This window comes from Homo sapiens, chromosome 12, assembly GCF_000001405.40.
Source record: "Homo sapiens chromosome 12, GRCh38.p14 Primary Assembly".
NCBI lineage: Eukaryota > Metazoa > Chordata > Mammalia > Primates > Hominidae > Homo > Homo sapiens.
In genome coordinates, this window is record NC_000012.12 from 39421803 (window position 1) to 39444155 (window position 22353).

A 22353-nucleotide genomic window follows, 5' to 3' on the forward strand; every position below is an offset into this window, starting at 1 on the left:
TTATATAATTATATGTATAATTTTATATATTATATAATTACATATATAATTTATATATATAAATAATAAACATATATATGGCAGAAATAAAATAACATTTTTAAAATTTATCTGAGTGGTAAAATTGTTATAAATTTTCCAAAATGAACAAATAGTACCTTTTTGTGGGATGGAGGGCAAACTCTCACTTTATCACCCAGGCCTGCATGCAATGGCGCCATCATAGCTCACTGCAGCCTCAGCCTCCCCTAGCTCAAGCGATTCTCCCACCTCAGCCTCCCAAGTAGCTGGGATTACAGGTACGTACCACCACATCCAGCTAATTTTTGTTTTTTTTTTTAATAGAGAGGGTTTCATTACGTTGCCCAGGCTGGTCTCAAACTTCTGAGCTCAAGTGATCCACCCACTGTGGCCTCTCAAAGTGCTACGATTACATGCATGAGCCACCATGCCCAGCCGCAAACAGTACTTCTACAATCAGAGAAAAATAGTTAACCCTTGCAAGTAGTCTTGTGAAAAAAATAGAAAAATTTTTTCTACAACGTCTTTTCATCTTCCTTTCAGTGTGACTAGTATTGTTCTAAATTTTGCTGCCAAAAGCAGCTGTACTAATAATATCAGATGATAAGACTACAATCCTTGAATTTCAGGGCCAGAAAGATAACTAGTCAATGTATTATTCACCCAAGACTGTCAATAAGACAAGACAATAAAACGGTAGGCAACTGCTATGAAAATATAAATCATCAATTACCCTCCCACCTCCTCTCAGTGGTGTCATGGGACACCTCAAAACTTTAATTAGCCACTTTTTCCCAGTTACCAAAACATCTCCACCCCTAGCAAAACTAGCCATCTAAGGCCTTCAAGTTGTTCTTTGGTCTGAAATATGCCAAAAGTTCATCAAACTACTGTTCACCAAAGTCTCCACCAGAAGTACAAGCTTCCAAGATCATCCTTCAATATAAAAGTGTTCATTCAACACTGCTCTAAATATCCTCTAATTTGGCCCCATCATCTATCTTTCATTTCCTTCCTAAATACTTCCACTGTGTTGAAAATCATCATCTGCCATCAGCAGTATAGTGTGGTTATTGCCTGGAACACCAGAGGGAATCAAATCTAGCACTGCCACTTCCAACTCTGTGACCAAGGGCAAGTTGCTTAACTTCTCAATTTCCTCATTCATAAAGTGAGACTAATAATAGTACCAATATTATAGGATTATTGTGAGGATCACATGAGTTAATATGTGTTTAGAGTTGGGAACAGTTTTGCTTCCGGCAAATAGTAAGTGCTTGACAAATGTATTAAAATGAACTATTTTTTATTAGAACACTCATCTATACCCTCAACCTAAAACTTAACCTGCTCATCCCCTGAGGACATGGCTTCTACTGAAGGGCTCTCAAGTAAGGCTATTTTTTCTTCTACTATAAGTCAGTGCCCGGAGATGAGTTTTTTTCTTGCTCCCTAATGTAGTTTCCAGTATCTCTCTTCTTTTTTTTTCCTCCAAAGATCCCATATTCTTTGAAGCACATGTAAGGATAGACCTTACTACCCTTCAAAACCCTTTATTGCTGTACCTGGACACACTGCCTCATCCACTGATCTCAAGATCCACAGTCTTCTCCTCGCCACTGATAGTCCTATCAGCATTCTTGGCAACTTCAAATCCCCATAGGTGCTACATTCAACAACACAATTCCACAGCTTCTTACCCTCCTTAAAATCATTCTCATTTTTGTTAAAAAAAAAAAATGCAGGCTGGGCGCCGTGGCTCACGCTGTAGTCTCAGCACTTTGGGAGGCAGAGGCTAGTGGATCACCTGAGGTCAGGAGTTTGAGACCAGCCTGACCAACATGGAGAAACCCCGTCTCTACTAAAAATACAAAATTAGGCAGGGCATGGTGGCTCATGCCTGTAATCCCAGCACTTTGGGAAGGCAAGGCAGGTGGATCACGATGTCAAGAGATCGAGACCACCCTGGCCAACACAGTGAAACCCCATCTCTACTTAAAAAATACAAAAATTAGCTGGGCATGGTGGCGCATGCCTGTAGTCCTGGCTACTCAAGAGGCTGAGGCAGGAGAATCACTTGAACCTGGGAGGCGGAGGTTGCAGTGAGCCGAGATTGCGCCACTGCACTCCAGCCTGGGGGACAGAGCAAGACTCTGTCTCAAAAAAAAAAAAAAAAAAAAAAAAAAAAAGGCAGTCAGAAGAGAACTACTTCATCTTCCCACTCTCATATCCAACAACTTACATGCATTATTTGATACCACTGTTTCTGCTTCCTTGCCTAGCATTGTCTCATTAACCTACTGTAATCAAGCACTCCACTAAAGCAGCTCATATTTGAGTCATAAATAACTTAACTCCAACCAAAGGCAATGGCCAACTTTTGCTCACATCTTACTTGACTTCTCAGCAACATCTAAAGTCAACTTTTAGGACAACATACTCTCACTGCTTTCTCCTACCTCACTACTACTAACCGCTCTTCTCCAGTATCCTTGACTAGATCTTCTCTTCTTGGCCTATAAATATTAGTGTTCCAGAGCTCTTTCCCCATAAGTCTTCTCTAAATTTTCCCTCTTCATGGATGAATGCATCCAAAGCCATGGCTGCAAACATCTAAATGCTGTTGACTCTCAAAAGTTTATCTTCAGACCAGACATCTTCCCTGTGATCCAAACTCATAGATTAAATAACTGACTTGACATCTTTATTAGAATGTCCAATATGCACAACAATTTCAACACAGACAATATAGAACTATTAATCTCACCCCCAAAAAATCAATTTCACCTCAAAGCCCCAAGCCTAAGAATCTACTTGATCCTTTTCTTTTCATCACACCCTTTGCCAGCAAGTCCTAACAGCTCTATCTCCCCAAATCTACGTTTCACCATTTGTACTGTTATTTTTTTAGCCCAAGCCACCTTTATGTCACTCCTGGAACATAATAACTGCTTTCTCACTCATCTCCTACATTTTCACCTCTTATAATACAGTCCACCTTGTACCGAGCAACAAGAGTTATCTTTCTGAAATGCATATTAGATCATGTCACATCTCTACTTGAAGCTCTCTAAAGATTTCTCACTAAAAGCGAAGTCTAAAATTTCCACCCAGACCTATAAGGCCCTTAATGATCTTACCTCTCTACCTACCTCTCCGATCTTACCTATCTTCACCCTCGGTTCTATTTTCTATATCTGGCTATACTGTCCTTCTCACCTGTCCACTAACAGGCCAGTTTATTTCTTAGCCCTTTTTCACTTGCTTTTGCTGGAATGCTGTTCTCTCAGGTCTTCTCATGGCTCATTTTCCAATATTCAGGTCTCAACTCAAATGACTCCTCCCAACCAAGGACAACTACTATCAAGCATATTGTTTTACCCTCTCCATAGTATATATCAATATCTGGATTTAAAAAAAAATATTTATTGTCTCTATCCTCACCCAATGCTCAGCTCCTTGAGAATTAAAGCTCTTGTCTTGCTCACATCTGTACCCTCAATACCCAGAACTCCCTTCCAGGCACACCAGTGGCAGTCAAATGGTTTTTGACAGACTGAATAAAGTCTCCGTAAGAATAATCCGAAGTAAATTATATTTTTCACCTCTGATGTTAAAGACCAGAGCTATGTGCCTGCTGATGTATTAAGCATCCAGACAGAGGACAAACAAGAAATAAAAGAGCCTATCCTTGCTTTTGAGTAATTCACAATGAATTGGAGGAGGAATAAAAAACCAACATAAGCCCAAGATACTAAAGATAACTGTTTACAAAGCAATCTATGAATAAACTTACTGTCATATAATATAAATTATATACATGGAGGGGTTATAAGTGTTGAGAATATGATAGAATTAGGAAAGGCGTCCTTAAAAGAGAATAATTTTTTGAGGCATATATTATCAATATCCTTTTACAGATGAGGGAACAGAGGCTTAGGCAGATTAAAGAATCCACCCAAGGTTAAAAACTAGGAAAGGAGTCAGGTTCAAGCAAGTCTCCTAATGTCAGAGCCCATTTTCCTCAGGAAATCATGTTTCTGCCGCTTCCTTATAACAAGAGCTAGCTACTCTGAAAGATACATCTAACAGAAGTAAGATTAGAAACTAAAAAAAAAAAAAAAAAAAAATGGAGCTGTCAAGGACATCTAGAAATCTATGCAAGATTCAACAGCAAAACTCCACCAATAATAAATGTTTACCCTGCCTTGGGTCTTTGGGTCTTTGAATGATAAAACAGGTAATCGGTCTACCAAGACAAAACTGGCTGGTACCCACAAGACACTGAGATTGATGAAATGGAAACATACGAAAAAAAATAAGCAGTTAACAAAGGAGTCTTAAATTGTATTCAAAATATTTTTAGAATTGGAATATTTTAAGAAATTTCCATAAAAGCTTTCTACCTCACTAAAATTCAAGCTGTCCACTCTAAATGGATGTTATTAACTAACTGTGTGAGAAAAGGATGTTGCGAATATGTGTGAGTATACACACATGTACACGCATGTATGCGTGTACTCATATCCTTGTATGTGTGGATGAACAGTCGTCAATAAATATTTGCATTTAACATATGTGATGAAAATAGGAATAAATTCATGGAGAGGTATTTTTAAAAATGGAATGAGCATGGAAATTAAAAAAGCATTAGAGAAGAGAAAGCAAATAAACCAAGGAGGCTATGTCAAAGATAAGGCAAAGACCAGATGTCATGGGACTTATATCATTATTAAGAAGCATTTACATTACTATTTTGGAAATTAAGGCCGGGCACGGTGGCTCACGCCTGTAATCCCAGCACTTTGTGAGGCCGAGGTGGGCAGATCACTTGAAGCCAGGAGTTTGAGACCAGCCTGGCCAACATGGTGAAACCCCATCTCTACTAAAAATACAAAAAAAAAAAAAAAAATAGCTGGGCATGGTGGTGGATGCTGGTAATCCCAGCTACTTGGGAGGCTGAGGCACAAGGATTGCCTGAACCCAGCAGGCACAGATTACAGTGAGGTGAGATCACACCACTGCATTCCAGCCTGGGTGACAGAGTGAGACTCTGTTAAAAAAAAAAAAAAAAAGAAAAGAAAGAAAATTAAGAAATCGTTTTACTGTCTGAGAAAGTAGCTAATGTGATTATAGTGGCTGGAGGGGCAAACTAATAGCTTACACATAATGTGTTCATACTTCATTTTTGGCATGTTTCATGGGAGAGCCATCAGGTCTTGTGTAGACATGCAAGGCTCTCCCAGCTGGACTGAGGGCAAAACCCCTATCTGAATCATCTTGCATTTCCCCATCAAACTATGTTGAGTGCACTTGATCTAGTGGGGCTCAGTAACTAATAAACGGAACTGAACTAAATTAAAACACATGGAATGGATCTGAGCTGAAATAAATTGGAATGGTCAGGGATGGAAGTTACTTATTATCCTTAAAAATTTTGTTTCTTTAGATATCGGAATACTTTAGTAACTTCTGCTGTGCCTACAATGAACTTGGAGCAATAGCTTTCTTTTTACATTTTTACTAGCTGTACTTTCCAAAATGCCTGTAATATACTCAACAGTAGTATTATCTACTTTACACACAAAAGGACCTGACTCATAGAGAGGGGTAACGTTATTTTTCACAGGGTTACTTTTACACCGCTACTACCTCAAAGGAAGTCAGTGAAACAGAAGGGATTTGAACTCAAAGTCCAACAGCATTACTTTTCATCATCAAAGTTCATTTTAAAATATTCAATAGTAAAAAGAAAATTATGCAATGTGCAAATAAACATATTTGATAGTCCAAAAGAAAAGAAAACCACAAACCACAAAGATGACTGCTATTGCATCTTTTTTGTTTGTTTGTTTGAGACGGTCTCTCTCTGTTGCCCAGTCTGGAGTGCAGTGGCACAGCCTGGGCTCACTGCAACCTCCACTTCCTGGGTTCAAGCAATTCTCCTGTCTCAGCCTCCTGAGTAGCTGAGATTACAGGTGCCTGCCACCACACCCAGCTAATTTTTGTATTGTTAATAGAGATGGGGTTTCACCATGTTGGCCAGGCTGATCTCAAGCTCCTGACCTCAGATGATCCAGCTGCCTCAGCCTCCCAAAGTGCTGAGATTACAAGCATGAGCCACCCGCGCCCAGCCACATCTTTTTCTTTCTAAAGGTAAACAGAGAACATGGTTCTCATCACAAGGCACAGAAAACAATTCAAATATATAAGCCTCTGCTGTGCAGTATGGGTAGGGATGATTTTGAAGAATGTTCATTCTTAGTCTAGTCCTACTATTGTGTTCATTATCCTAATAGCTTATATGTGGATGATTCTTCCTTGTCAAAGACAGCAAATAGGGCTTTCTTAGTCATCCTCAATAGTCCACTTAACTGTCTACCACAAATATTCTAGGTCCATCTGACAGTATTTCATTTCACAGTAAACCAACTTTTGTGAAGGACTCAAAAGGTATTTGTTTTAACAATTCAATCAAGTTTGCTTTCTAAAAAGGTTTGTCTTAAAAAGTGAAGGTTGTTTTCAGGATCATTTAAGTTTCAGACCTCATTTGTTGATACCTTATCTCTCAGAAACTTGTTTTTCAACCCAAACAAAACTAGTTATCTAGTCAAAGGTTTCAGTGGCTATTATTGTGTCAACAATCAAGACCCAATTATTGAGTAAGATCCTTAGAAAAAACAGAGTCACAAATAATTGTTAATTGATTTTTCTTATTTAACCATGGTAATTAAAATTTTTATAATATGCAATGTGACTTGTCTCATAACTACAAAGAGGAAAAGTAAAATTAATCAAATGTCTTTGCTAAGTTAGCAAAGGAACTGTCACTTCAGTCAATCTTTAAAAATGACTTCAAATTACCGTGGCTCACACCTGTAATCCCAGCACTTTGGGAGGCCGAGGTGGGCGGATCATGAGGTCAGGAGATCGAAACCATCCTGGCCAACATGGTGAAACCCTGGCTCTACTAAAAATACAAAAATTAGCTGGACGTGGTGGCGTATGCCTGTAATCCTAGCTACTCGGGAGGCTGAGGCAGGAGAATCACTTGAACCGGGGAGTCAGAGGTTGCAGTGAGCCGGGATGTTGTCACTGCACTCCAGCCTGGTGACAGAGAGAGACTCCGTCTCAAAAAAAAAAAAAAAAGGACTTCAAATTAGACATGACACATGGAAATGAGATGTTCACTTATAGTTTAAATATAAAGTATGTGTGTGTGTGATCAATTATGGGGTCTTAGTAAAAACCTTGTTGGTATAAGTAGAGGTGTGCTCAGATTAATGACATATTAAGCAATATATTTAAGAGGTTTAAGGATTAATATGCCAAAGAGCTCACCTTGCCTGCTAACCAACTAGAAATAAATAAGTATCCCCCATGTCAAAGATAAACAGAAAAGGAATGAATTTCCATTAACACACATACCAACAGAGAACAAAGATTAAGAAAACATTTTATTCAAACTGCTCTAGGGGGTTTAATCATCTCAGTCTTAACTTTCACAACTCAACATATTCATTAAAGATAATTCAAGATATCCATTCTATCATATAAATACAATGCTAATAGCTTTGACTGGTAATATCAAGGTCACATATTATCAAATATAAATGCACTATTATCATCCCTTTTCTTCATCATTGAAGACAGACATAATAAATTGTAAAAAGGGGGCCCAAGTGAAGACTAGAAAGAATCTCTGTTAAAGAAATAGATTTTTGCAAGTTAGTCCCAACTAACATTTCAGGATTACTATGTGCCAGACATTATTCTGAGTGCTTTATGTCAATTAATTCTCATAACGATCCTATTATGTTAGTACTCTTATTACCTCCACTTCACGGATAAAGAAACCAACCAAGATGAAAGTGTGGTTTTATAAACAGGAACTCACCAAAGAAATTAACCCTATCTTAAGGTGATTTTGAAAGAAATTATGGTTAGTTATTAGATATTACCTAGAAGAGGAAAAATAGAGTTTCAGGTAGATGGAGAGGGAAAGAGGAAAACAGCAGATAGAAGGAGGAGAAAAAAGAAGAGGAGGGATAAAACTAAAAAAGAAAAAAGAATCTAACATCTCACAAACAATTCTAAAGAACATTCTAACAATCTTAACAACCCTGTGAGATAGGGATTAAGGGATTAACCCTATTTTATACATGAGAAAACTAAGGCTCATAAAAGTTAAGTGGCCATCCGAAATTCTGAACTCAAATATTTGTGATTCTAAAGTCCATGCTTGGCTGGGCACGGTGGCTCATGCTTACAATCCCAGCACTTTGGGAAACTGAGGGAGGAGGATCTCTTGAGCTCAGGAGTTTCAGACCAGCCTGGTCAACATAGCAAAACCCTAAGACCCTGGAAAAAAAAAAAACAACCTTAAAAAAATAAAAACGTAAATAAATAAAGTCCATGCTTTTTTCCATAAGTCATGCTGCAAAAGAAAATAAAATTAAGGGTCAGGTGTGGTGGCTCACACCTGTCATGCCAACACTTTGGGAGGCCGAGGTGGGCGGATCACCTGAGGTCAAGAGTTCAAAACCAGCCTGGCCAACATAGTGAAACCCTGTCTCTACTAAAAATATAAAAATTAGCCGGGCTTGGTGGCAGGCACCTGTAATCCCAGCTATTCGGGAGACTGAGGCAGGAGAATCACTTGGACCTGGGAGTCAGAGGTTGCAGTGAGCCAAGATGGCGCCATTGCACTCCAGCCTGGGGGACAAGAGCAAGACTTCGTCTCAAAAAAAAAAAAAGAAAGAAAGAAACATATCAATTTATTTTTTTGTGAACATTAATATATTTTATACCATATTGGGCAGATTCATTCAACTCCTTAGTGGATTTTATGTTTTGGTGTGTGTGTTTCATGTCAATCCCATACTGCTATGATTTGAATGTGTCCCCAAATTTCATGTATTAGAAACTTAATCCCCAAATTCATTATGTTGTTTGAGGGTAGGGCCTTTGGGAGATAATAAGGATTAGATAAGGTCATAGAGGAAGGCCCCCATGATGAAACTAGTGGCTTTGTAAGAAGAAGAAGACTTGAGCAGACACACACCCTCCCTCTTGCCATGTGATGTCCTTCACCATGGTACTATGCTGCCAGAAAGCCCTCATCAGATGTCAGCACCCAGAACCAGGAGCTAAATAAATTTATTTTCTGTATAAGTCGTCCCTGTTGGTATTCTGTTATAGCAACAGAAAATGGACTGAGACACACATGGAAATCACAGCTTCTAGATCCCATGTGATTTTAGTCTCAAAACATCCTAGGGCCTCCAGGTTGAATGGGGTAAAGTAGAAAGCTGGACAACTAAACTGGATGGCATGGAAGTGAAGTAATGTCCAGAGATGACCTAGAACAGATCAGTGCCAGCCTATGTATACAAGTGGAATAACTCTGGTGGCAGCTGCCAGTTCTGTGCAGCCCACATGAGTTGAAGGAGACCCCAGTTGGGACAAAAGGGGACAAGTTTCCCTCTCCACAGAGAGGGGGCTTTCAATAATTTCACTTTGTCAAGTGGGTTTGGATTCAAGACACGGGGAAAGAGATCTAAATCAGGAAACCAAGACAAAAGCCAAGTTTGGACAAGTAAAATAGGAGGTTAAAGGGAAGGCTATGATCCTAAAAGCACAGGAATAATTAATAATAAGTCTGGAGTAGCAGCCAAAAAATTTCACACTAATGGGTTGGTGGAACAAAACTACTGCTGTGATTTACTTGTGGCTTTATTGAGGACTGACCCAGAAACTCAGGAAAGGCTGAGTTTGTCCACTTGGGGCATGAAGAACGTCATCTGAAAAAAGTTAAGCAAGACAGGAATTCAAAGGCAGCCTGACGTTATAGAACACACACTTGTGAAAAATTATGATTAGGTTATATAAAGTTAATAAAAAATTTAGAGCCAAAGCTAACTAAAGAAACCAAAACCCAATCTGCTACAGAGGCAACAGAAGATCCAATTCCTCTCATGTAACAAAATAGATAAGAATATTATCAAGGACAGATGGAATCTGTTGTCAATCTAAGGGCAAGTTAGCAAACTAAAATTCAAAAGCCTCATATTGTATTGCCTAAATTGACACTTGAAAATGTCACAGATGTCACACTGGAATTAAGGAACTTCAAATGGCAGGTCAAATAACCAGGAATGAAATCTGCAATCTCATGTTTAATTAGCAGTTGCCAACCTCCACTTTAGGACAGGACAGGTGAAGACTAACAGACCAACACGCTACTCAAAGAGAAGTGTTTTGTGTTGAACTGAGGTGAAAGCAAGCAAAATAAACACCTTAGAAACTCACTTATTTTCAAGAAACATGAACTAGTTATGGTCTTGTGTTTGATTTACCATCACTGGCTTGGAATAATGTGCTGGGAAATATCTACTTCATCCTAATACATTGTGTCTTTACATAGATATAGGTGAAAAGTTAAAATTAAATATCAATATATCTTTTTCTGGAAAACATCCTCAGTACCATAATGCTTACCCATATATTCTGGGTGAGCAGCACTATTCACTCTCATCAATTCCAATAAACACTCTTTGGTAAAGTCAGTGTTCATCAGTAGAAATGAAACATTATAAAGAATCAAAGGAGACAGCATAGTTCCTATAAAAATGAAATTAATGCCCTTACTAAACAATAAAGTCATGTCAATTAAATCACTGATATATTGAATTTAATGCATATTGTACTGAGTTATTGAAATAAAGCAGATGGTGTATAATATTTAGCATGTTACTCAAAATGCCCTTCCTTAATATAAAGATGGACAAATTCTTTTTTTTTTTTTAACAGAGCCTGGCTCTATCACGCAGGCTGGAGTGCAGTGGTATGATCTCAGCTCACTGCAACCTCGGCCTCCCGAGTTCAAGTGATTCTCTTCCGCCAGCCTCCCAAGTAGCTGGGATTACAGGTGCCTGCTGCTATGCTCAGCTGATTTTTGTATTTTCAGTAGAGATAGGGTTTCACCATGCTGGCCGGGCTGGTCTCAGACTTCTGACCTCAAGTGATCTGCCCACCTCAGCCTCCCAAAGTGCTGGGATTACAGGCGTGAGCCACCACACGACGACCAAGATGGACAAATTCTTATGCTATGTGTTAGAGGGGTAAATATCAAGCTACTAAAGGGTATCAACACACTGATTACAACAATTTCAAAAAACTGTAGGTACACATATTAAAACAGACTAAAAAGAAATATAGCAAAATGCTAGTAGTAATTGTATTAGGGAATTATGATTGATTGTTTTTCTTATCTTTTCCTGATAATTTTTCTAATGTGATTAACCTATTTCAATAATAGGAAAAAACTGAATAAAAATAACTTTCTTATGGAATTATAAACTGATTTTGAGATCATTAGACAGGCTTACAAGATATACTTTCAGACAAGCTTACAAGATATACTTTCTGGTTCTAAATATCAGTCTTGTTCTAAAATGCCTTCAGGCAAGTCTTTATATAAGTTCTATTAATGAGTATTGCAGGCACATTGCCCCAGTAGCTCCAGGTCCCAGAAAAAAAAAAATTTATCAAAAAAGTTAATGTATAATTAAAATTTTTATATTATTACTTCTGCTCCTTTTACTCAGTTTACCCCTTACAGTGCTCTTTAATCCACAGCCTAGTGTAATACTTCTTGCCAAGGTTGATGAAAGGAAGCAAAAGGAAAGCATTAGCAATATTTCCAAAAATCTGGTGCAACCTAATTCAGAAGGAAAATTCACATTTTTACTATCCACTTTAGTTACCATTCTCTTACATTAGGTTGAGCAACTAGTAAAAAGTATAACTCAAAACTACTGTTAATCTCACAAAGTATATGCTAGTAACTTTACAAACACGAAGAACTGTACTAATTAAAAGGCTTTGTGGAAAAAGAAAGAATAAAAATAGTGAATTCTAATAAACTATAAAAGGATGAATTTGATAGAGTAGAGCAGTATGGCATGTAATTTATATATTGAAAGCAAAAGAAAACGGGGAGACTAGATAGAATAAGGATCTTGGAAGTATTTATATATACTGTTATATCACTTATAGTGGTGTAAGTAAGAGATACTCAAAAAGCAAAAGAACAGATACCAGATACAGACATCTTTAAAGCACTTTACAAATTCAAGTTATAGGTTGTACATCAAAGAATAACTAATCCAATTGCTAGAGTTTGGAATATAATCAACATGCCCATCGTTGGTGTCCTAGTCCATTTTGTGGTGCTATAACAAAATACCACAGACTGGGTTATTTATAATGAACAGAGATGTATTTCTTACAGTTCTAGAGGCTGGGAACTCCAAGGTCAAGAGGCCTGCAGGCCTGCATCTGGCACGGTCTTTCTTGCTGCCTCATCCTAAGGCGGAAGGCAGAAGGAAAGAGAGCATGCACAAGAGAACAAGAGGGGACTAAACTCTTTTATAACAAAGCCACTCTCAAGAAAATGAAACTACTCCCTCAATAATGACATTAATCCATTAATGAGGGCAGAGCCCTCATGAACTAATCACTTCTTAGGCTCCACTTCCCAACATTGTTGCATAGGGGATTAGTTTCCGACACATGATCTTTCGGAGGGACACATTCAAACCATAACAGTTGGTTATACCAACTTTATCTAATAATATTACTACCTATGTTTGTATAAAAACCATTTTTCAAGTGCTTTCACATGGTTGTCTCGTGATCCTTTCTCAAATCCAGGGGAGAATTACTGAGGGAAAACCAAATTTATCAGGGGTAAGAGTCTAAACCAAAACAGTTTTCTAACCATGCAATGCTCATTTTATTATAGCACATTGCCTTCAATTACTTTAATGCCTCCAGCTTATGTGATTCCAGTACACAATGAACACTCATTAATTATATATTATATGAATGAATTTTGATCCAAAAAAGTAAATAAGAAGGAATACAATTGAGGCTAGAGATGCCCTGTGCCTCATTAGTACCATGTGATCAATATGCCACATCATAATAAACTACAGCTTGACTCTCCAAGGTCTCTTGTTCCCACTTGCTGAAAGATAAAAGACTTATTTAGAACAACTCCTAGCTGACTTAGTAGTTGTATCAAATAATGTGGATATCTATTCTGAAAAAAATGTAATTCCTTCATCATATTGAGAGATCTATGATATTATCAGGCCTACGTGACAGACACAACTCTCCAAAGTTGAGAATAATTCAAATCCAGTCTCAAAAGGTAACATCTTACTACACACTAAGATACCCAAAACATGGGGAATAAACCTTGAGCTGTCCTTGATGTTTTTAGCCTCTGGGTGGGTCCATTCCATAACTAAGTTTGAACATTTTTCTTGGTTCTTTCCTCTTACTGAAGAAGCAGATGGATGTGCCCAAGTAGATTGACCCTGGGGTTAAATCCTGAATGACCTTTATTACAGTCTGGGAACTCAGATATCTACTTGTCTCAAGTCAATAATCCAATGTCCTTCAAATGTTCTATTGTAATAGTGCTTAAATATTCTTTGAGGTTTTGAACATTTCAAGCCATTTCCTACTGGAATTTCAGAGGGAGAGAAAGAAGAATCATATATGGCAGGTCTAAGACCCCAAATGGCAGAAATTTTTCTGCATGACATCAGTCTAGAAAAGCTTTGTGTAGATGTGGGATTTAGGATGCTTTTGGGGTGACAGGCCTCCATTACAATCAAAATGTACTCTGTATTTCCTTCTGAAATGGGTCTGGTTAAGAACCACCTAATTAGTGAAGTAACACTCAAAAGGAGGTCTTTCTAAACCACTCAGATTTCTGCCTCCATCTTCCATTCCAGATGCCAAAAAATACGCCTCACTCCACCCCACCCCCACCCCACACTCCAGCCACCTTCCGTTTAGTGAGGTTGTTATTACTGCAATGTGCCATAATCCTTTAGTCTGTTGGAGTAAAGTATTAAGAACCAAAGTGGGAGGAAGCAGGGAAGCCACATGTCTCAGGCCTGGAATTCACTAAAGAATTTCTATTTACATGTTTAAAATTATTTTCAAATTAGACTACATACGAATTTTATTTCTGTGGTTGTTGTGAAAGCATTAATGTGCTACTTGCAAATGTTAAAAACAGTCTACATTTTTTTATAACTCAGTTCTGGCATTTCTTTATATTTTAATATACCAGAAACCTCAAAATTTAGACCTGGGTTTCTACCCCTGCGGTTCCTCTCCCTTTACTTCTGAGAGATCTTTGTTAGAATCACTGATCAAGTTCCTACTACTGAGGTGCTTCTAAAGTCAAAATAATGGGTTGACAGTGAGCGACCTTATCTAAATGTCAAACTAAAATTATATAAGGAATGCTTAAGGGATTAAAATTGTAGGTTATTTTAATATAAAAATTATTTCTTCGATGTATGTTAGCAAAACACGAAGTCCTAGAAAATCCACAGCACTAATCAAGAAGACTTGAGCTACTAGTCATGTGACCTCAATCAATTCCTTTTAACTTTTCTGGGCCTCTAACACCTCAACTATCTCGAAGAAGGGGCCTCAACCAATTAATCCTTTCAAGATCCCTTTCAACTTTAAAATCTATCTCGTCAATAATTATAAGGGTTTACTATATTATATATATATATATATATATATATATTTTTTTTTTTTTTAGACAGGGTTTCATGTTACCCAGGCTGGAGTGCTGTGGCTATTCACAGGAGTGATCACAGCACACTGCAGCCTTGAATTTCTAGCCCCAAGCGATCTTCCCACCTCAGCCTCCCAAGTGGCACGGACTACAGACACACACCACAACGCCAGCTTTAAACATTTTTAATAATTGCAAAAAAAAAAAAAAAAGAACAAGGTAACCTCAAAAATTATTCTTAAACCTTCAGAAAGATCTCATAATAATTGTATGGTATCATGAAAACTGTCCCTTTGGCTTGGCTGTCATTTGCTTCAAATAATGCCTGAGCCACGGGAAAACTATTTTAACACTCTGAGAAGATTAAATAGTTAATCCATTGGGAAACCAAGTTGAATCCACAAATCCCCTTTCCAAAGAGAAGCAGTGAAAATAACAACAACTTTGTTTTATTTTGAATAAAATTGTTCTAATGATATACAGCAAACAAATACTATCATCTGCCATGCATTTTTATTGATATGTTTTTCTTCCTAATCTGAAACTCAGATTATGTCAGGCCACATGTGATTTTGACAGAAAGCAACTATTTATAAGTCCGAGACTCATCTTTGAGCTGTAACATGTCTTGGGGAAAAACACTTAAAACAATGCATATTCCAAGTCAATTTATTTGAGGAGAAATTGATGAGAATTGGAAGATTGGGCATATTATAGTATTAACTGCTACGATCATTTCTGCTTTCATGGTTTCACTAAACTGGAATTTCTAGTGCATCATTCACTACCCCATAATTAGGCATCAAAATATTAACCAATTAGCAGGTAAGATGGCAAGAGCTCAAGGGGTAGTAATAATTAGACCTGAAACCTGAAGTTCCATTGAGTCCCAAATAACAAACAGGTCCACTACTTAATAAACCATATCTGAAGAATGACTATCAACCCACATTTTGTAAATGAAATTATTTCATTGACTTTCTACTTGCATTATCTGCTGGCTTTTCAGTCTACTCTCTTTCATTTCCATTACTCCTCATCCAAATACAAAGACATATAAGTAGGGCATGATATAAGGAATATCCTCCTAATGCATTGGCATTTTGTATCATTGTCTGTGAGAAATGTATGAACTAAAAAACGTCATTGAGAAAAATAAGAGAGAAACAAAAACTCAAATCTAACAATTATCTTTCATTTCTGGTATGTGCTATTGATTCTGTTGTGTGTTCATTCCCACATATTTCGTGTGTTTAAAAAGCATTGTACTGCTAGATCTAAGCTCCATGAAAGCAAGGACAACATACGTCACGTGTGTTGTGGTAGGAAAGTGTCTGGCATGTAATAGGCACTTAAAGATTTGTTGTATTAAGGATGAAAGGAATAAATAACCAAACACCAAATAACCATCTATTTCCATAAAATAAATGTTTCTCAGAGGTCTTACTCATTTGCTTCCATATTTTTTGAACATTAAACTGTTTCGAATAATTTACCTCACATGTATATCTAGAGTTTCAACTTAAAAGATCCTTATTACATTGAAATTATTAAGTAAAATTTTTTAAAACATTTGGAAGTATGTTTCAGAGCACAGCAATAGATATCAGAAACCTGAGTTTGAGTTCCAATTCTGTTACTTAGTGGTGAATAAACCTTGAGACACATTTTTCTCCTCTGTAAAACAGAGATAATAATAGCTGCCCAGGCTATCTGATAGGATTTTAATGTAGAGCCAATAAAATATTATTCATTTGTATTATAACCAGAATGGGACAAAGAGACCATTACAGCCTACATGTTTATTCTTCAGTAATAAGGATACCTAAAGAAATTATATTATTAGGAAAGTCAAGTTTGAAATATTAAAATAGTTCCTTCCAGTTAATATAGAGGCATCATTAGTGCCTGCAGTTTGACTAACAACAACTAAAATCATATTTAACAGACTGCACATGAAAAGTTCTTACAACTCTTAATATCTTTAGGTTGACAAACCAGCATTGGGAAAAAGAAAAGTATAGTGAGCTCACATTGCAAATAAGTGCCAGTGAAAGACCTAAAACTGAGCTTCTGAATGTCCAAATAGCCCCTAAGCCTGCTGAGCAATGCCACTCCTTAAATTGCTTTGGTAAGGTGAAAACCTAGCAAACTGAAACATAAATTAGACCACATTACACACTAATCCAAACTCACTGTCAAGGATAGGTACAGTTCTCTGATAAAGCCAGGCAAGGAAATTTTAGTTTCTATATACAGAGAATAACATAAAAACACAAAGGTCCTTTCTGTATCTCCCATTTTCACCAAACTCTTGACATATTTTGCAAACTAAAGTTCTTGGAAAGGAAAAACATTTCAAAGTTATCGTGTCAGAAGAGATAAGGAAGAGAAAGGAACACATCCTCTCATAATGTATTAGATTTAGAATGTGAAATGTTTGACTTTATCTTTTTGAGTTAACTGTTTGGTTCAATTCAGTATACTTAGATAATAAGAATAGATTCTACATTGTACTTTATTGTTCATTTTTGTTGGCGACATCTATCTAAGCCATCCATTCAACTTACCACATTTCCTAGGAAAACAGCTACCTGATTATTGAGTCAAAATCCATACCTTCCTACACCCATGCACTCAGAGGAAAAAAAGTGTTGCTGTTGAATCACATCTTACATCTTACATGTATATATATACTTGTGTGCGTACATGCATATCCACTCTAAAACCAGATACCCAATATTTTAGTATTTTCTTAATCGAAGGATGTGATTAGTCCATGATGGGGTGTCTGTGAAAAGTTTTATTCTAAATGTATTCCTCACATTTTTAAGTTATAGTGCAGTGGTATCCAATGGACACATACAATGTGAAAGTTAATTTTAATTATATTTTATTTAACTCAATGTAAGCAAAGTATTATCATTTCAACATACAGTCAATATAAGAATTGAAATATTTACATTCGTTTCTTCAGAGTAAGCCTTTGAAAGCCAATGTATATCTATTACACTTACAGTTCTAGTCAATACGTACACTAAATTTTCATCAGAAATACTTGTATCACTACTTCGATTTCAAAACTTTACAGCTGAAAAAGTAGATCCAAGTTGTTCAAAACATACTTAAAAGTTTATGATAACTGGATGAAGGACCAGTTTTTAAATTTAAATTTTAACTCATTTAAATTAAATTAAAAATTTAGTTCCTCATTAGCATTAATCATAATTCAAGCGCTTAATAGCCACATGGGGTTGGATAGCAAGGGCTGTTATCCAAATCCATATCTATCTCACTGAAAGAAACCCCACAGAACATCTCAAATATACTGTAAAAAGGTATTTTTGGAAATTGAATAAAAATTGTTCTCCCTAAATGAGAATCTTTCTGTTTAACATCTTTCTCCCAAAGCCTTAAATGACCCATTTCCTTATCTTGAGAAATCTACAATAGAGTCATCAGCTTTAACATACTAATAAACCTCTAATAAAACATAAGCACCTCTAGGATGCATTTCCACAATTATATTATTCATTAAAGGAAAAAAAGCAGGTCAAATGCTTTTGATTTTGTATATAGACACACGATTTTGTATTGATTTATTTATTCTGCTGAGGAACCCTTCTCAAACTGAAGGGTAGGGTAACAGGAAGCTGGAAAGATTAAATAATTTGAGGAAATATTTTAGTAAGTTCAGGTCCTGTCTTAGTTCTATCTTTTCTAGCAATATCAAAATATGAATAACCTGTGAAAGCCACTCATTTGTAAATGAACTAATACAAAATCAAGAACAGGCAACTGACCCAAAGCTAAGTGAAACTTTGCAAAGCCATGTTCTTGCCTCTCACTTCCGCAGGGTTAATGGTTAAGAACTTGGGCTACTGAGTCAAGCTATCTGGGTTGGAACCCTGGCTCTCTCATTTGTTACCAATTTAACTTTGGATGGTTTACTTAATCTTTCTGTGCCTCATCTGTAAATGGCCATAATAACAGGACCTAAGTCACAGATTGTTATGAGGAATAAATAAGACTTTACATGAGATAAAACATCTTAACACAGCACTAATCCCGGCACACAGTATAAGTCAAACAATTATCACTACTTTTAGCCCAGAAATCAGGATAACAGAGACGGGTATATATCTTCAATAAATAATGGTTATAAATGAACAATATAAGTCCAAACACTTTATAAATACTAAAGTGCTATATGAGTATAAGCTATTTTTATCCTATATAAAGTAAGTTTACAAGGTAGCTCTGTTCAGAGAACAATGTATTTAATGAAAGAAATCCCCGATTTATCCAGGCGCAGTGGCTAATGCCTGTAATCCCAGCAATTTGGGAGGGACGGCTTGAGCCCAGGAGTACAAGACCACTCTGGGAAACATAGGGAGGCCCCATATCTACAAAAATGTATAAAAATTAGCCAAGCAGTGTGGCACATGCCTGTGATCTCAGCTACTCAGCAGGCTGAGATTAGAGGATTGCTTGAGCCCATGAGGTTGAGGCTGCAGTGAGCTATGATGGCACCACGACACTCTAGCCTGGGTGACACAGCAAAACCCTATCTCAAAAAAAAGAAAGAAGAAAGGAAAGAAGAGAGAAAGAGAAAGGAAAGAAGGAAGGAAGGAAGGAATCCTGAATTCAACAAATTGAATCTTTACAATATGGCTTACTAAGTTATGTTGAAGTTTTTATAAAGCCTTTCCCCAAAAATCAAACCCACATTCATTCACCTAAAAAGTCCTAACATACACACCAAAACAAAATACAAGTTATTTATCAGTCAGCATCACTTTAGGGTCATCCATGGCTCTACAGGCAAAGAAGCATCGGATTTAACAGAATGGTCAACAAACTGCCTTGTGATAGTCTAGAGAATTCACATATAAAAATCTCAAACGTCTAAAAACAGACAAATTGTCTGTTTTCAGTAATATTTTATGCACCTTCTTCACTTTCCTTGATCAGATCTCCTAACAAAATTGCCTCTTATTGGGTTTTCTGTCTTTTTCCTTCCCCTTTCTCCACCCTGGTGCAGTCATTAACTGGTATTAAAGGGCCAAAAGAGAGGTAGTAGCAGTGAATAGGAGAAACAGACTAATCTAACAATTGGATAAGTAGCCCTAGAATAACGAAGAAGGCCTAATTAAAACTTCAAAAGCCTTATAACAGGTGATTCTAACCAGTCATAAAACTGTCACCTCCCTGGGTGGTAAAAAAAAAAAAAAAAAAAACACTTAAAAACTCATTTTATTATTTAAGTTAATTAAAGATACAAAGTATACGAAACAGCCATTACTATGCCTGACCCAAGATGTGTCACTAAAATAGTAACTATAGAAATGTTTAGAGGGGAGAATTTTTAGAATAATTTTCTGGAAAGACTACAAGACTGGGAGATTGTTAATAGTTCCTAATTCCTTGGAGTGTAGATTATTTTTATAATCCTTAAAGCATAAATAAGGAGAAGTGAATTAACAGTAGACTCTCAGAGCTGTGAAAGCCACGCACTTACTCTAGGATGAATGCTTCATTAATTTTTCACACAGTGTGATGATGTTGCAATTTTCCATGAGCAACTATCAGAGCTTTCCTTCTTGATAAGTATCAAAACAGCCGAAATTACATCGAATACTCGTGCCTGTCATTGGCCGAAATATAATTTCAATACTAGGATGTACCTAGTATTTCCAGACTCACACCCTGGCCTGGGTAACGTTACGATTACATTGTATCCACCCTGCCTAATGTCAGTATGTTTCACACAGTCACCCATTTCACCCTTCCTCTGGCTAAAGAGTTTTCCTCCTTCTGTAGACCTCTCCCCAGTGGATTTTACCTTAAATTCCACTCCCATTCCAACACCCAAGAGGCTAGATCTGTCTCCTCTACCCACACGCGGGGGCATGTCTAGATCCCCGTGATGCTGAAAAAGATGTCTCATTTGCACAGACATCAGAACCCGAGTGGGCGCGCGGCGGGCCCTGCGGTCGCCGGCGCTGATAGTCAGATGCTTTGTCTCCTGCCTGGGAAGGCCGGAGCTGCATGGACACGTATGACAGACATTCTAGAACTAATAAAAAAGAACACCACAGCCCCGCGCACAGGCAGCTCCTCCCGGACAGGCGATAGCCCAAGGCGGCCAGACCTGAGGTGACTGATCCCGCGAGGGGACGGAGGGGAGTGACGAGGGCTTTTCCCCCAGAGAAGTCAAGACGCCCCCCAGGGACCCGGCGCCGCGCAGCCGCCAGCCACCTGCAAACACAGACGGCGTGAGGGCGGCGCAGTCGCCCTGCCAGCACCCGGCCGCGCGTGCCAGGCCAGCGGGGACTCACTGCCTCAGTTTCCTCAGCCGCAGAACCCGGCCGGGACGCCCCTCAGGTCGCTCCACCCCGGTAGCCGGTGCTCCGCGCCACAGCCAGGTCCTTGCCGCGCCCTCAACCCGCCGCCCGCCGCCCGCCGCCGGCAGACTGTCCTCACCTGACAGCCACCCGCACGGAGCTCTCGTCCGGGGCGCCCAACATGCTGGCGGCGGGCAGCGATCGAGCCGTTGGGCCTCGGCACCGCAGAGCTGAGGCGCCACTGGGGCCGCGGGACTCGGGCGCAGTAGGCTGGGGCGTCTGCGGGCGGGCGGCCGGCTCACCTCCGCCGCGCTCCAGCCATGTTGGGCGACTGAATGGAAAGGTGGCGGCGGCGCTGAGGCAGCAAGAGGAGGAGGTGATTCACGGCTCGCGGGCGCCCGCCCCTTCTCCACCGCTCACCCCCCAGGATCTGGGGCGGGGACAAAGCGCGCTTGAACGGCGAGCGCGCCTGTGGAGAAGCCAACAGGCCGCCAGCGGCCTCAGGGCGGCCGGGTGAGTGCGCCCTGCCCCCTCCGGTGGGGACGCGGCCTCCCAGCGGCCAGGCTGGGGACTCCACGCCCGCCAGGGCGCTCCGGGCTCCTCGCCCCGCACTGCGTCAGCCGCCGCCGCGCGGCTCAGCCCCACCTCGCCCTCCCCCAGCCTGCGCCCCGCCCTGCCCTCGTCGGGACACTGCCTGGCGCTGCTGGGCAGGGAGGCGAGGGGGAGGGATGCCTGCCGCCGGCTGCCCTCGCCCGAGGGCGACCAGCCTGTGCGCCCTTCCAGGCTCTTCTGGGAGAAGGAAGCAGCTAGTGCACGCGCTGCTGCCAGGTCCCTTCTCAAATCGAAGCTTGATTCAGCGGCGCGCCGGGAGCCAGGCAGCTGCTGCTGCGGTTCGGCTTTGTGTCCCACGCATAGCCTTATTGTCCTCTCTGCAGCTTGGACTTTGACCCCCTTCCCTAGCCCCCAGCTGAACGCCCTCCCTCCTCCCTCCCCGGAGTCAGTCATTCATGCTAAACGGACTCCCAGGTTTGTCCACTGTCTCTGGACAGCTGGGCTGTTCTACAGTTCATCGCCCGTTTACCAGCTCGGGTGGGATATGGAAATGATTTATTCGAGACTCCTGAATGCTTTTCTGTTCAATCATTTGTACACTGGTAAATGAACTGCACCCTGGTACTGCCAAGTGTTCCCAGAACTGAATATATCCACCAAGACCTGCTGTGTAGTAAATCCTTCCAAACTGATTTTCTTTCCCTTCTGGCCTTTAAAAAGCACCTCCCAATCCCAGGATTCTCTCAACATTGACCCATTGTGGTTTCTGTTTGTCACTATTGTGCTTCCACATGCCTTCAGATAGCTCTGTGGAAA

General features: G+C 39.3%; 1 protein-coding gene across 33 annotated transcripts in view, besides 4 other annotated features; it reads right to left on the reverse strand.

Moving 5' to 3' along the window:
- KIF21A (kinesin family member 21A) overlaps positions 1–21318 on the reverse strand; it is a 149893-nt gene extending 128575 nt beyond the window's left edge. For all 33 annotated transcript variants that reach the window (XM_047429133.1, XM_047429128.1, XM_047429123.1 and 30 more), the window contains exon 1: positions 21125–21318. In XM_047429133.1, coding sequence (XP_047285089.1) covers positions 21125–21168 — 44 coding nt within the window. In that variant the 5' untranslated portion in view covers positions 21169–21318. The remainder of the gene's footprint in view (positions 1–21124) is intronic.
- Positions 20259–20328: an enhancer, noted in NCBI's record as "active region_6200". NCBI's record gives its function as "activates an Ori minimal core promoter by ATAC-STARR-seq in GM12878 lymphoblastoid cells {active_cell/tissue: GM12878}" and the evidence as "EXISTENCE:reporter gene assay evidence [ECO:0000049][PMID:35858748]".
- Positions 20949–21848: a silencer, noted in NCBI's record as "silent region_4348". NCBI's record gives its function as "represses an Ori minimal core promoter by ATAC-STARR-seq in GM12878 lymphoblastoid cells {active_cell/tissue: GM12878}" and the evidence as "EXISTENCE:reporter gene assay evidence [ECO:0000049][PMID:35858748]".
- Positions 21147–21647: an enhancer, noted in NCBI's record as "H3K27ac hESC enhancer chr12:39836751-39837251 (GRCh37/hg19 assembly coordinates)". NCBI's record gives its function as "activates a minimal SCP1, AML or CMV promoter by ChIP-STARR-seq in naive H9 embryonic stem cells {active_cell/tissue: H9 hESC(naive)}" and the evidence as "EXISTENCE:reporter gene assay evidence [ECO:0000049][PMID:30033119]".
- Positions 21929–21988: an enhancer, noted in NCBI's record as "active region_6201". NCBI's record gives its function as "activates an Ori minimal core promoter by ATAC-STARR-seq in GM12878 lymphoblastoid cells {active_cell/tissue: GM12878}" and the evidence as "EXISTENCE:reporter gene assay evidence [ECO:0000049][PMID:35858748]".